Genomic DNA, 17,033 nt, shown 5'->3' on the forward strand with positions numbered 1-17,033 from the left:
TGTTCTTTTGTTCCTTGGGTGTGGAAAGTTGGGGTTTTCCTTTTGATTTAGTTCTAGGAAGTCAGAATGAATCGGCCTTAGGTTCCCTGCTTCCAGATTTCATTCTTCTGTATGCCCTCAGCAAAAAAGAAATCCAGAAGTAGACTAAATATTATCAAAACCTTAACTTAGAAGTCACTGATCATATTAAGGACACAAGCCTCAGTATATCTTCCTTGAGAAAGAAAGGGGAGGATAATATAATTTGAAATTTCTATTGATTTTTATGCCTAATGTCTAGCAGTTAGTCACATATTCTAAACATGCCAAAAAACAGAATTATATGATCAAACATTTAGAAAACATAAGAAATCAAAAATGGACTTACAGAAATCCAATTAGTGGAAATAGCAGATAAGGACATCAAAATAATTATTATTAAGATATTCAAGAAAAGAGATAAAAATATGGACAAAAAAATTAAAAAGGTGGAAAATTTAGCCAGAGAGTTGAAAACAATTTTAAAAAATCTAATAGAACTTTTAGGGCTAAAGAATAGCTATATTTAACAGCAGATTTTCCTTGCGAAAGAGTAGGGAATTTGAATATAGTTCTATGAAAAACATACTATACTATAATAAAGAGAGAAAAAAAGAAAATTACAGAAAAGTATGTGATAAACCTGTTGGAAAGAATGAAAAGCTCTAACATATGTGTAATTGGTGTCTTGAAAGGAGATGAGAGAGAATGGCGCAACAGTGGAGAAAATGGTGGAGAATTTCTAAAACTGATGAAAGAGGCCAGGTCAGAAATTTGGGAAGTACAGTAAAATTCAGTATAAATAAAAAGTAAACCATAATGACATGATCAAATTAAGCCCATTATAATTAACTGCTGAATACCAGAGACAATGAGACAATTTTGAAAACAGTCCCATAAAAAAAATAAAGAGCCAGACAAGTAAGAATTTGTCAAGTTCCAGAAAAACATATTTAAAAATCATTGTTCTTAGACTTTAGTTAATTAAAAAAATGATAATTATAATAATAAGAGGAATGATTCAAAACCAAGCTGCAAAAGGAAGAAATAGGCAAAGTTATTCAGAATCTTGGAGACCATATTTAGGATTTTAGATTTTATCTTCAGGTAATGAAAGCCTTTGGAAGACTTAATAGGGGAATGACATGATCAAATATGCATAATTAAAAGCTTACCTTTGCAGTTCTGAGGAGAATGGATGGGGATGGGGGAAGAAAAGGAGTGGGAGACCAGGAATCTGGTCACCATAACTAGGAGTAAAAGGTAATAAAACAAACAGAAGAACATTTGGCATAGCTATGACTCAAGTTTAGAGAACAACAACAAGCAAGGCTGATTTGATACTTGGTCTCTACGTGTTGAGTGAGACCTTGTAAAATATAATACCTCCAACCAATGATTGTTGGAATATAGACAAGACTGAAATTACTGGACGGGGTCCAATGATCGGTGGTCAAATCTAGAGTCTCCACTCTACTGCCCAGGCTGGAATGCACTGGCACAATTATAGCTCAGTGCAGCCTTGAACTCCTGGGCTCAAGTGATCCTCCTGCCACGGCCTCCTGAGTAGCTGGGACTGTAGGCATGCACCACCTCACCCGGCTAATTTTTTGATTGTAGAGATCAGGTCTTGCTATATTGCCTAGGTTGGTCTGGAAGTCATAGGCTCAAGTGATTCTCCCACCTTGACCTTCCAAAGTGCTGAGATTACAGGTATGAGCCACCACACCCAACCTTCAGTTATCAAATCTGTGGATACCTAAAGTTTGCCAAGGTGAGGACCTGGGAATTTGATACTGCTCATATACACTGAAACAATATTTTGTCCTTTGTTGTGTTTTTATCCAGATAATTTTAGAGATGTTGATGCTGCATATAGTCATAATAGGGATAAAAATTCTAACTGTGGTCATGGAAGAGAAGGAAACTAAGATTTGCCAAGCACTTACTAGTGTCAGGCACTGTATTATATGTTTTATATATTTCATCTCATTGAATTGTCACAATGACCTTGTAAAGCAGTCTTGTTCCCTTTATACAAGTGAGAAAATTGAAGCTAAATTTAAGTAATTTGATGAGAGTGAAAGAGTAGTTAAGAAAATTGTTTAGGAAGGCACAGCTACCAAATGGCAGCTGGAAATAAACCGTGTTCACTGACTTTGAAGTCTGTGATGCTTCCACCATAGCCTTGCTCTGCAAAACCCTTTAGATCTTTTTACATCATCACTCACACTTTCAGGTAAGGATTTCGGTTTTACAAAAAGTTGAGCAGGGAAGAAAGTAACCAGTACTGTCCCAGGAAGTGGGATCAAGGTGCAGAGTAATAAAAGGAAGGCAACTCAGTTTCAATGATTATTCTGATCTTTTTTTTCCCAACTTGGTGAGTCATAGATAACTTTGTTTTACAATGACTTCTATTAACTGGAACAATAAAATATTAATAAGCATATATAATTCCATAGAATAAGATCATCACAATGATATGAGAAAAAAGAGATAGTTACAATATCTAATGACATTTTGGAGAAACATAGTTTCTTAAAATTTTTCTTTGTAAGTATGTAATTTTCTCTGTGTACAAATATCTAACCTTGGCACTGCCCCCCATCAGTTTTCAATTAAGACTGAGCTGAAAAATATGGAACATGGTATTACCCAATTTTATTCTTTAATGAAATATTACATGATGCATGGAAAATCCTATGCATCACATAAGACTTATTGTTTCTTTGGAAAGAATATGAAGGAACTGAAGAACAGTAATGCGTGAAAATGCATTTAATAAAAGTGACCCGATACCTCTGCTACAGGTTCCAAGCTCAGTATCTCATAAAGGATGACTACTACTCTTGAGAAGAAGCAGAAAACTGCAGAATTTCTTAAAAAGTAAAAGTAGAGAATCAGATAGACTTTTAATTACATAGCTCCTGAAACAACAGCAAAATCCCCATAAACAATGTAGTTGTACTTTAGGAAAGACTGAGGGTGGTTCATGGAGGCTTTGAGAGATAGGGTCAGAAGAATCAGCCACTCATTATCTGGGGACCATGATTCTTGAACACTTTAGATAGCATGGTGTTAAGCAATCAGCCTGCCTGGAATGGAATTAATATTTCTGCTCTGCTACCTACCAAATGTGTAACATTTTCAAGTTTATTGGAATTTTATATGCTTCAGTTTAGTAACGTAAAAAATAAAAATAGTGGTGAAACCTATCCCATGAAGTTACTGTAATGTTTAAATGAGTTAATAGATGTAAACTAAAAATATTATCTGGAAAATAACAACCACTCCATAATTGTTAGATACTATGACATCACCACCACCACCACCACCACCACCATCATCATCATCATCATCATTTTAATCTTATGGTTAATGTATCTTTATGATCAACATTTCTCTGTTTTCTGCAACTTTATCTTTGAGATGTCCATTTTGCTCAGACCACTTAACCATTTCATTTTGTCTTAGTCATTATTTTCCCTTTTAATTTTTCCATGTTTTTCCTTTCTTTCGCCCTCCCTTCCTTCCTTTCTCTTCTTTATAACTCTGTTATTAATTATTTTAAGTGTAATATTTGATACATATAAAATAATACTTATAACAGATTATAAAGTATAATAAATAGTCATAAATCAACCACTCCCATATCTACCACACAGATGAGGAAATAAAGCATCACCAGCACTACTTGGAAGCCCCTGCTTGCCTTGTCCTTGTTCCATCATCTCCCTTCATTTCCCATAAATTCACTAATATCTTGAACTTTCTCATTATCAGTATTTTTAAAATATATAACCATTTTTATCTCCTATGTCTGTATTCTTAATCAATGAATTGTTCAATGTTGCATGTCTTAAAACTTTATGTACATAAAATTTTTCTTTTATAGTCTTCCATGTCGCATTTTCACCTCTATCTTGTGATTCCAAGGTAGATCCATGCCAATTTTAGCTGTAGCTCTTTCATTTTTATTGCTTACTAGGATTCTAACATATAAATTCACCACAATTCTTTTTATCAATTTTATTGCTAACAGGTCTTGGTGTAGTCCCTAATTCTATGCTGTCATCAACAGTATTTCTGTGAACATTCTTATGCCTACTTGTTGGTTTGCATGTTTGAGATTTTCCTTAGGATACAATCCTATGAATGAATTGTTGGATAGTTAAGCATTCTCATCTTTACTAAATATTAATACCATTAGACTATTTTCTATGGTAACTATCATGCTCTACATCCCAACTAGCAATGTATATGAATTTGGTTACTCCAGAGACTCATTTGCACTAAATAGTAACTCTCTTTCTTTTTCTGCCTAGCAAAAACTTAAAATGAAATCTACTTGGAATTCAGGACATAAGGGCCTATAACATTTTGCTGGTCCTGAAAACATTTATTTTTGGGTTTTGTTTGTTTTGTTTTTTTATCACAGTCAGTGAACAGTTTCTTCTTTAAAGCTTCCAATCTTATTACAACTTTAGTAGATGAGAATATTGAAAGTAATAATTTGAAAAAAGTTCCAGCAACATAATTGGCCCTTACATGCTGAACACCTTAAAAAAAAAAAGTTATAACAGAGTGGGCTATTATAGCTAAATGATTGAAAACATATCATCTCTGTTGACCTGATTAATCCGTGAAGATGTTGACAAGCTGAAAGAGATTCTCTTCGGGAAGGTTAGAGACCAAGGATACAGAGATTAAATTCCTCCAGCTTGATATCTTGGGAATGGTATTGAGTCATGCTGGCAGAGCTTGGTGTGGAGGCTGACTTGTCTCAGGCAGTTCGTGTTCTATGGCTGTGCAATTCCAATGGCAAGAGCTAAAAAAATCAGATTAAATAATTTGCACTTTCTTTTTTTAAAAAACTATATGTACATACTTATATGTTTCTAATAATTAAATGCACAATGAAAAACAAATGTATTTCACTGTATTTAAGATCACTTGTGACAGAAATTCCCTTAGCTTTCTATGTTAGAAATATAGTTTGATTCCATATGCAAAATTTTGAGAGAGACTCTTTTCGTCTTTGATAATTGCAGTATACAAAATTCCCAATGGAGAGGGTTAAAGTCTTTCTCTTTCTCTTTTCTCTCTTTCTATATATACATATTTTATATATATCATATATATTTATATATGTACACACAAGTATATACACACTAGAATATACTTATATATATACTAGTATACGTATATTTATATATACATGTATATATAAGTTTATATGTATACTTATATATATACATAAATATAAGTATACATATATTAGTATAAGTATATATACACTTATATATACACATATATACATACACTTATATATGTATATATATACGTATATATACACACACACACAAATATAAATAAATATATATATAAAAACGTGGGGGGTGGATAGATGTAGATTGCTTGGGAAGCAAGAAGTCTTGCAAAAATTGTCGGGCCCACAGAAATTCCATTTGGGCTGCCAAATTTGCATTAGTCCCGCCCACAGTTTGAAATGTCACCCCACCCTCTCTTTGCCATCTGCACCACCACCTACTGAATCCTATGTCTCTAGTCTTAGAGAACAGAAGCATCTGCCTATGACAGGCACATTCAGAATTGCCCCCCAAACAGATTCAAATGAAAATCCAAAAGATTTATTAAAGCAGAGTCAGAATATATATATGTTTTTAGAGTCAAAGCTTTACAATTATAAGGTTTTCAGTCTGGTTTATTATTTCCTGATTTCTTCTACGTTATAAGCGTACAAATAGAGGATATTTTTATGACAGATCTAAAATCACTTTGATAAATTAGTAACATACAACCTCTGTAAATTTCTTCACTTGTTGCTAATTAAATGATGCAGCTATTTTTCTGCTGAGTACTTGCCATTTATTAATTTATTCATCTAGTACACATTTTTGAGACCATAAAGTGTTAGTTAGAGAATCAATACAGTATGTTCGCACTACTTCTGAAGACCATGACCTAGTGCAGTGCTGTCTAATAAAAATATGATGTGTGGCACATATGAAACATTTAATTTTCTAATGTCATGTTAAAAAGAGTAAACAGGAAAAAGTAAAATTAATTTTACTAATATACAGTTAGTTGTCCCTCAGTATCCATGGGAGTTTAATTCCAGGACTTCCCGCAGACACCAAAATCCACAGACGCTCAAGTCCCGAAGTATTTGCATATAACTTATGCATATCCTCCTATATACTTTATTTATTTGTTTTTTTGATTGTTTGTTTTGTTTTGTTTTATTTGACAGAGTCTTGCTCTGTCTTCCAGGCTAGAGTGCAGTGGTGCGATTTCGGCTCACTGCAACCTCTACCACCTGGGCTCAAGTGATTGTCCTGCCTCAGCCACCCAAGTAGTTGGGATTACAGGCATGTACCACCACATCTGGCTAATTTTTGTATTTTTAATAGAGACGGGATTTTGCCATGTTCGCCAGGCTGGTCTTGAACTCTTGGCCTCAAGTGATCCACCCGCCTTCACCTCTCAAAGTGCTGAGATTACAGGCCTGAGCCATTATGCCCAGCCTCCTCCTATACACTTTAAATTATCTCTAGTTACTTATAATACCTAACACAATGTAAATGCTACGTAAATAGTTGCTATACTGTGTTGTTTAAATAATAATGTTAAGGAAAAAAGGTTTGGATGTGTTCAATACAGATATTTTAGATCCACAGTTCATTAAATCCATGGATGCAGAACCCACGAATATAGAAGACTGACTGTACTTTATCTCAATATATCCAAGATTCTATCATTTCAACATGGAACCAATATAAAAATTATTATTGTGATGCTTTATGTTCTTTCTTTCTGGCACTGTTTTGGAAATCCTTTTCATATTTTACAGTTACAGCACATCTCAGTTTGGATGTGTTCCTTGCAAGTGCTCATTACCCAGATGTGGTTAGTGACTGCTACGTTGGACAGCACAGGCCTAGCAGATAGATGATATTCATTCACTCTTTCAGAGCGAGGCAAATGGCATGCAAATAAGTACTCAATCAAAGTGTGATGAGGGGCTGTTTACAGGGACACTAGTTAATCTTACGAGACTAGAAAAGCTTTTCAGAAGAATTTTAGGCCAAGGATTAATTGAGAAATAGGAGTTATATTCGCACAATAAAGAAGCATCAGAGAGAAAAAGGCAGTTTTCCAGACCAAGCAAACAATATGTGCCACTTTAAGGCGCTGAAATAAGTCCAATATAGGAACATGTGCAATAGATCTAGCAACTAATTATATATAATGGATTGACGTTCAAGATGCAATGGGAATATGGAGAATCAAGGATGCTGGAGTTAGGAAAGAAGGTAAAAATTTAACCAGGACTTGAAGAATGAATGGGAGTTTGTGAAAAGGATTAACAGGATTGGGAAGGAGAGAGGGTTTCCCAGGTAAAGCTTAAAGTTATAAATGAGCAAGGCAACATGGAAAATTTGAGATCGCTCCTTTAGGATGAAGATGAGAATATTTGTGGTAGTAGCAGGAAATGAAACAAAAGAGCAACACTGGGGCCAAATCACGAAGGGTCTTCTTTGCCAGGATCATATGAACTTTATGTCACAGATGACGAGCTCCTATTGAAGAGTAAAGCAATGCTGTGATCAGGCTGGTGCAGCAGAGCCTTCTCTCTGCATTGGAGAGTCATTATCATATTCTTGCCGTGGTACCCTGTTACGTCTAGGACTGTCATCTTGTTTTTACTCACTGTCTTCTTGCTTTTTCTCACTGTCATCTTGCTTTTTAAATTCCTATGGAAACCTGCCTTTTGACAATAGAAACCAGTACCCTGGGAGCTGGACATCTATGATAGCATCGCATCATGTTTGCAACCTATTGCTTGGATCTGATCAACTTTCAAGTTCTCCTGTTAAAGGTAAACCCTTTCTTTACCTTGCTGCAGCTCTGAGCACTCCAGGTGGGAAGGTTGGGATCTTAGTATGCTAATGACAGTTTAAAGAATTTGGAACAGTCTTTTCTTTTTCAAAATTACCTGGAGTTTAGACAATTGTCTCACAAGACACTAAAAAATATCCTGCTTTTGTTCTGTAGGACACTTCTGAGCAGGTACTTCTTTCTCTTTCTTTAACAACCCTAAGCCCCTATAAAGAAAATAGTATTGGGAGAAGATTATAGAGCATAGAAAGATAAAAGAGAAAAGTGTATTAACATAGTTTAAAGGATTATTTTACCTATTGCTTGTGCAAGGATGTGTGAAAAAATTAAATTCTTTTAAATACACTGTAGGCTGCTTTGAACATTGATTTTTGTCTCATTTATTCATTGATTTAAAAATATCTACAGGCCAGGTGCAGTGGCTAATGCATGTGATCCCAGCACTTTCGGAGGCTGAGGCGGGCAGATCACCAGAGGTCAGGAGTTCGAGACCATCTCTACAAAAAATACAAAACAAAACAAAACAAAACAAAAAAATTAGCTGGGCACGGTCATGGGCACCTATAACACCAACTACTCAGGAGGCTGAGGCAGAAAAATTGCTTGAACCCAGGAGGCAGAGGTTTCAGTGAACTGAGATCATGCCACTGTACTCCAGCCTGGGTGACAAGAGTGAAACTCCATCCCAAAGAAAAATAAATAAAAATATCTACTAAGTTCCTACTAGGCCCAAGTGCTATATTCTGAGTGCTGTATATATAGTGATAGACAAGACAGATAAGATCCCTGGCCTCAATGAGAAAGGTGCTAAGAAGAAAAAATAAGACAATGGGATATTGAATAGAGCAGTAAGGATGCTTCCTTTCCCAAGTTATAGAAAAAAATAACAAAAATTTTAGTCAATAAGGATATTGATTATCTCATACAACATAAAGTTAGGGGTTAGAAGAGTTCCAGGGTAAATAATTCAAGAACTCACTTACTTCATCATTTACAGGAATTCTTTATGCTTTGCCATTTCCAACATGTTGGCCAGTCCTTTTTGCCCGCATATCCTGAGGACTCCAAAATAGCAGTCTCACGGGTCATTTTCAGACAATGATACCCTGGTAATAGGAAAGGCAGCATTCTTTTTAAGCAGTGAGATACATTTTTCTAGAAGTGCAATGCCCTGGCCCCCACTCAAAACATCCTCTGTATTATATAACATGTTTATTCCTAAACCAATCAATTGTTAATAGTCTGAGACAATGATGAATGCCTTAAAATAATCAAGTATCTTGGCCGGGCGTGGGTGGCTCATGACTGTAGTCCCAGCACTTTGGGTGGCCGAAGCAGGCGAGTCACTTGAGGTTGGGAGTTGGAGACCAGCCTGGCCAACATGATGAAACCCCATCTCTACTAAAAATAGGAAAATTAGCCAGTCATGGTAGCACTTGTTTGTAGTCCCAGCTACTCAGGAGGCAGAAGCAGGAGAATCGCTTGAACCCGGGAAGCGGGGGGTTGCGGTGAGCTGAAATCACGCCACTGTACTCCAACTTGGTGACAGAGCAAGACTCAGTCTAAAACAACAACAACAACAACAAACAAAAACTATCAAGCATCTTGCTTTGGGGTTAGAAAGGGTCCAGTCTCCCTTGAAGATCTTGTTCTTCTAGGGGATGTGAATAATATCAAGGTCCTATCATCAAAGAGTGGCTGTAGAATAAGCAACGAAAAGTCTTTGCTACAGTGAGTGGTTGAATTGGAAGGAGTGGGAGATCTGAGAAATCTTTCTGAGATAAAATTGAACCAAGATCTAACTGATGAGAAAGACACAGCCATACAGCAATCTGGGGGAAGAATATTCCAGGCAAAGTGAAGAGCAAATGAAATGGATCCAAGATGGGGAAAAGTCTGATGTGCTTGAGGAAATAAAAAAGACAGTGTGGATGAAGTTCAGAGAATATTTGGGAAAGTGGAATTAAAAAAAAAAAAAAAAAAAAAAAAAAGGACCCAGAAGCAAGTACTAGCTCAATCTACACAGTCTTGTGAGCGACTGTAGGACGCTGAGTTTTATTCTGTTGAAACTTAGAAGTCATTGGAAAATTTTTAAGCTGGAGATCTTTTTTTTTTTGAAACAGAATCTCACTGTTACCCAGACTGAAGTGCAGTATTGAAATCATAGCTCACTGCAGCCTTGAACTCCTGGGCTCAAGCAATCCACCTGTTTCAGCCTCACAAATGGCTGGTATTACAGGCATGAGCCACCATGCCCGCCCAAGCCAGAAAAAAATGTTAAGCCATTTAAAAACAGTCACTTTGGTTGCCATGTAGGAATGAGCCACAGTGAGGCAAAAGTAAAAACATTTAAGAAACAAATGTAGCAGAACAGGCAAAAAATCATCATAGCTAGTACAAAAACACTGTATTAAAGATGGCAAGGAGATGCCAGTTATATTTTGGGGTATTGCTGACATGACCTACCAATGGTTTGTTTGTCAAGGATATGAAAAGAGACAGAAATAAAATATAAGTTTTGGGTTTAGAGCCTGAGCAATTGAGTTGATATTTGCACCATTAACTGAAATGGAAAGTTCTTGAGGAGAAACTGGTTTTGTTGGGCTGAAGAAAATCAATAATTCTGTTTTGGACATGTTGAGTTTGACATTCCGATTACATCCTAGGAGAAATATGAATACAGAATTGGCCAGCGATCTGGACAGGGTTTTCAGCCAGAGACAATTTGGGTAATTATAATATGGATTAGATTTTAATTTGTGGGACTAGATGAGATCATCTAGAAAAAGGGAGATGGAGAAGAATTTCATCTGAGAACATACTAAAATTTACAGTTTTGTCCTATGAATCAAGATTAGCAAAGCATCCTAAAGAGGAACTACCAATAAGGTAAGAGAAAAGCCAGGATACTGGAGCATCTTGGAAATCAAGAGAAGGAAGTGTTATATGATTGAGAGGTAGTCAACTGGTCAGTGCTGCTGAGTGATAGAGTGAGAGAAAGACATAGGCTTTGGAAAATGGAAGTTGTTGAAGACTTAGATAATAGCCTTTAACTTAGCGAACTCTGTGTAAATAGTTGTTGAGTTAAAATGCTATTCTGGTCTGTCTTATTTTTTTATCTCAACACTGTCCCAAATTCCAATTATGATAAATATCTAAAATATAAACATTTTTAATACAGCATAATACATATTTTGCTTTAATGTGGCCTTGATGATTAGCCATTCTTAAAAAGACTTGATTAAACATATTGTTGGGCATAATTCTCCGAAGTTCTCTTAGATTTCTGTACATCTTGCTAGTGGAGGAACTTATAGCCTTTGTTCTGAACTCTTCCTAAAAATGTTTGTATAGGGAACAACCCTGAAAGATGAAGATGGTGTCTTCTTCTGGAGAAAAAACATGTTTGTTTATTGTTGTGTATAAATATATCTGATGTATTCTATATATGGGGGAAAGGCCAGTCATGCTTATTGTCCATTAGAAAGGATCTGTTTCCTAAGCTCAGAATTTCTCTCCAATAACGTAACCCACTACATGTATGGATAGCATCTATCCCATTTCTTTTTTTTTCTTTTTTTTTTTTTTTTTTTTTGAGACAGAGTCTTGCACTGTTGCCCAGGCTGGAGTGCAGTGGCACCATCTCGGCTCACTGCAACCTCCGCCTCCTGGGTTCAAGCAATTCTCCTGCCTCAGCCTCTCGAGTAGCTGGGATTACAGGTGCACGCCACCAGGCCCAGCTAATTTTTGTATTTTTAATAGAGACGGGGTTTCACAATGTTGGCCAGGATGGTCTCGATCTCTTGAGCTTGTGATCTGCCCACCTCGGCCTCCCAAAGTGCTGGGATTACAGGCATGAGCCGCTGGCACCCAGCCCATCTGTCCCTTTTCTAATCTGCCTGTGGGAATTGGCGTATAGGCCTAAAATGATAATACTCTGGTATCAGCTAATACAATGAGTAATAAAGTTCTTTTTTTTGGACCTAGGAGTCTCATGTCTTCCGTTAGCAACCAAAAATTGTGGCAAGCCAACATGATAGCTTGCAAGTACAGTAAAATTTCCCATCCTTGGCAGTACTTGACACATAAATGTATCTCAGTGATCTAAGCTAATGAAAACAATTATTTATTTTCAGCTTATAATATTTAGTCTCCATAATTATTCCATTACATAGTTGTTGCTGTTGTTTTTTTGCCCTGTGACAACTTAAAACATTGTACACTTTCAAGCCTTACCTATATGACTTTGGCTGCTATTTCCACTAGGAAAGGAACTGTTCCTTGTGGACATTTGGTATAAAGAGGTATCTTGAACAGACATAGAGTGAATATTATAATAATATATCTAAAGATCTCCACAGTTTCTATCAAACTTTACAGCTCATATTCTACTTTTTTGTAACTAGAAATAGAAATGGAATTATGATGTTTTGAAATTGATACACTAGTTTCTGTGAAAAAGAAAAAATAAGTACTGCCATTGTGTTGTAACAAATATTGCTTCTGTAATACATGATAGTTTATTTTCTCCTTCACACACTCAGAATAATAAATTACAGAGCTAGAAGAATCTCAGAGAGCATGATTTCTAATGCCTACTTTTACATATGAAGAAAGGAAAACTGAAGCATTAGTTGCTTAGTTAGTTATATTACCAGATTGAATTTAGACTTCTGATTGTCAGCTAATTTTTCCTGTCACAGTGTTTTATATACCTATTCCCTCTGAATTCTGTCCTCTGTTAATCCCTTAGTGTGAAGAAGGAGGAATGTTCTGAAAAACAATGTATAGTGGCAAGAGAAATAATGTGGCAGATAAATGAGCCAAAAAGGGTCAAGTTTATGGCTGAGGTTCCTCAGTCACCAATGGCCAGCTATCACCAGCAAATTCTACTAAAAACAAAATGAACAGCCCAAACTGGAATTTGTAAATTTGATCACTTAAAACAAATCCCATTGACCAGAAATTCAGAGAAATTGTTACGAGCAAGTCATCAACAAATTAGCAATGCCAGACACAATTTCAACATCCATTTATTCCTTTAATTAATTCCCCAGGCAGGTCAACTGAAAGAATAAATCACATGAGTCATTTGTCATTAAGTAGGACAAAAGCTCAGGATTTTGATTATTTATATACATACGTAGTTTTTTCCTTTGCAACATATTTTTTAGGCATTACATACATAGAATAAGAATCCTTCTGCAACTAGACATACAGCAATACTTTTTAATAGATTATAAATCAATTTTAGATTTCATCCAGTTTGTCTATGTTTAATTTTCCCTGCAGAGAAGGTACAAATTTAAAATTTATATCTTATACAGAGTAACATTCTTATTTGTTTATTTAATGGTCTAAGATTGATTATATTTCTTCTTTTGAATCTATTAAAAAGTGAACAAACCTCCATTTCATTTTTTCCTTTTATGTGTAATCTTGTTTACAACTCTATGTTTGTTGAGCCCACTTGATTTTAAGAATGATTGATTCCCTATCTCCAACGAACCTTGAGAATTTTGTTTAAATCAACTCCAATGAGCTTCTGATTTTCCTCTTACTTAAGGGCTATAAAGCTGCACTGTCTAATCAGCAACACGATTTATATCTAACAAGTTCTTGATATTTAGCTGGTAACTGGGAAGTTTATTCACTGCCATCTAAGTGGTGAGAATTATTTTTACTACATCAATCATTTCTATGGTTAAATGAGAAGCAACAGCATGGCGAGTCTGAGCACAGCAGTTAACCGCTGTTAAGACAGAGACATTTTTTTTTCCTTTATATTTGCCTCAGCATTATGTCCTAGTGCTGGTTAAGCCACTTCTGGTGTTCTGGAGGGTTATAAGACTTTTACATGGACTTAAATTTGTGTACTTAAGAAATCATTGGCAAAGGAAAAAAACTTTTTTATTGAAACCAACATATACTTAAACTTATCCTCATTTGTATAAACAGTTTATCTTTTAAAAATATGCAGAAAAAATTGCCACGTTGCCTGTAACTGAAACTGAGTATATTAACATGCTTTTTCCTAAATATGCCAATAGATGCCAGTTATTATTTAATATGTGGGTTTCAGTTTCATGGCACAGCTATCTTCAGCTAAATATAGCTGTGCCATGAAACTGAATCCCATGTATTTATGAGGAGACAAACATGCCAAAATGGACTTCTTATGAAGAGGTAGTCCATTAAAATGAATCTCTGTAAGGTTACTATACATTATCTTTATATCTTAAAAGCTGTGACAAAAAGTACAGTGTTCTGTTTTGTGAGCTTAATTCAAAGGCTTGTTCATTCTATTATTGGTCTTGTAATGTCTCCTGCTTTTATGATTGTATTTTGGTGCCTCTCTCCAATGTAGTCTTGCCTGTTTGTCATTTCTTTGTTACTGAATATAAGTGAAAATGCCATAATATTGTTCTTCTGATTTTATTTAGGGAAATTTTGACTCACTGCTTCAGATTTTATATCCTTACTCCCCTCTCAGCTGCTGTGGTTCACTCATGTTGGCTTTATGCCATTACAGTACCAATAAAAAAATTGTGACAGCATTATCACGAAGTGATGTTGTGTATTTGTATTTATATTTTTATATTTCTTGATATTACTTGCTGTTGTTACATTGAAGTCAAGCCAAGAAGGGTATTGGATTGTTAAATTATGGCTAATCATATTACTAAAATGTTAATAAGTAGATAAATATATAGCACTTAATCAAAACATCATTATTCACTTATGGAAATTTATGTAAGTGCTTTTTCAAAATTAAATGATCAAAGGAATTCACTAAAGTGGGGGTTGTGAAGTTATCTTAGTAAACCTGTTTATAATTGAGCAGGACCTTTTAATAGATTAACTGTCCTCAACAACTTGCTTTATAAACATAGCTTAATTTATTTGCAATAAACTATAGACAAAAATCACATTTACCTATTTTATTTGAATTTACTCACCAATATGAATTTCTTTTCAAATGTAAAGCAATTTATCATTACAATCTATAATTTGCATGCAGACATTCTATTTGTTACCTATCCTGTTACAAATGGCCTTCTTCTCTTCAATTCTCACTTAATAGTCTGTCTTCAACAGAGCCGTAAAAAGAATTTTCTTAAATTGCAGGTCTTATATCATTATTCTATTGCAAAACATTCAGTGGGCCCCAATTTTCCTTTAGAGCAAGGATAAACAGGTATTCAGAACACTTCACATTCTGGATACAACCTTCTTTGCAAAACTTATCCCTCTCTTTATGCGTTCATGGATTTAACACTTAGCAGAATTAAATTGTATGATATTTATTTGTTTTTTTAGACAAAAATACATTTAACTATTTTAATTATAATTCATCTTATTTAATAGTAACTTTTAAAGTTTTTGATGATGTTATGGACTTATAAGTTATCACATAGTCCTTTTTAATTGGTACATATTTTTTGATTACTAAGAAATTTTGATCTGAGCTCAGAAAGTTGTCACTTACTTGATATGACGTAAGTGGCAAAGTCAGAAATAGAATCTCCATCTTCTGATATTTAGTCCATTGGGTTTGGTTTCCAGTGGCTTTGGTTTCTTTCATATTACCAAGCTGCTTCAATATCAGGTTATCATTCAGCAACATCAATATTATTGTTACTACATAAAAAGCAAAGCAAAGCAAATAATAAAACTATAATGCAAGTTATTACATAAATATTAAATATTATTAAATCATTAAATAATAATTATATAATAACTATATTAATATAACTTTTATAAAATAGAAAAAGCAAATATGAAAACTGAGATAAAATATATGAGTCAATTCTTTTCGTACCTGGGACAATATTATATACACCATTTAGACATGATAAAAAATTGAAAATATTGTGATATGTTGTAACAGTTTAGGAAAAAGGATATTCATACATGTCATATCATTGGAGAATTTTAAGATTGTATGAATCTAAGATAGCATCTAGAAATGAATAATAGTAACCAAAAATGGGTATAAATTGCAAGATTGCTTTTTTTTTTTTTTTTTTTTTTTGAGACAGGCTCTTGCTTTGTCACCCAGCATGGAGCATAATGGAATAATCACAGTTCACTGCAGCCTCTACCTCCTGGGCTCAAACAATCCTCCCTCCTCGGCCTCTCAAGAAGCTGAGACTACAGGTGCATGCCACCACACCCCACTAATTTATATATATATTTTTTATAGAGATGGAGTCTCACTATGTCGCCCAGGCTGGTCTCCAACTCCAGAGCGCTGGGATTACAGGTTTGAGCAACTGTGCCCGGCCCCAAGATAGCATCTTAGTAGATGAGAGCTTGATAACATTAAACTATCTCTTGTTTCCAGGTAGCAGAATTAAACTACTTCTAAATAATTGAAGTAAAAAGTCTTCTAGTATAGCAGACCCTCTGTAGTGGGAGTTTCCATATCTGTGGATATGGAGGGCTGAGTCTACCAGGCAATTTTATATGAGAAACTGGAGTATCTGTGGATTTTGAACTCTGCAAGAGTCCTGGAACTAATCCCCTTCAGATACCAAGGGATGATTGTGTCTATACTGCAAGACTTGAAATCCTGCCTGCACCACTTATTGGCATGAGATCTTGAGCAAGTTACTAAACCTTTCTATTCCTCAGTTTCCTTATCTATAGAATTAAGATAATAATAGAACTTACCTCATAGAATTGTTTTGAGGATTGGATGATTTTATTCATGGTATACACTCAAAATAGTTCTGGACACATTTAAGGAGTTCATTTATGTTAAGTACTCTGAACAGTACCTGGTTCAGTAATATTAGCCATCACCATCATCATCATCAATATGTTCATCATCGAAAACAATAATAAAGAGCCTATGAAGTAAATACTTGTAAAATTTGGAAAGGAAGCATATTCATGGAATGGTATACATTTTCCGACAGCAGTTTCAGGTTAAAAGTAAAAGAGCCAAGGGATATCCAGCTGCATCAGTTTAATTAAGTCGGTTTAAATAAATCTGATATAAATTAGCCATAAGTCTAAAATGGAGACACCAAAGAAGTCAATGAGCATTTGTGACACTTACAACAGTGAACTTGGGATTTATTATG

The 17,033-nt window shown here is 35.0% G+C and overlaps 1 annotated feature.

The window, feature by feature from the left end:
- Nucleotides 7,672-8,871: an enhancer, noted in NCBI's record as "CDK7 strongly-dependent group 2 enhancer chr7:82100858-82102057 (GRCh37/hg19 assembly coordinates)". NCBI's record gives its function as "activates an origin of replication core promoter dependent on BRD2, BRD4, P300/CBP, MED14 and CDK7 cofactors, with strong dependence on CDK7, by STARR-seq in HCT116 cells {active_cell/tissue: HCT116}" and the evidence as "EXISTENCE:reporter gene assay evidence [ECO:0000049][PMID:35650434]".

The sequence above is a fragment of the Homo sapiens genome, chromosome 7, assembly GCF_000001405.40.
Source record: "Homo sapiens chromosome 7, GRCh38.p14 Primary Assembly".
Classification (NCBI taxonomy): domain Eukaryota; kingdom Metazoa; phylum Chordata; class Mammalia; order Primates; family Hominidae; genus Homo; species Homo sapiens.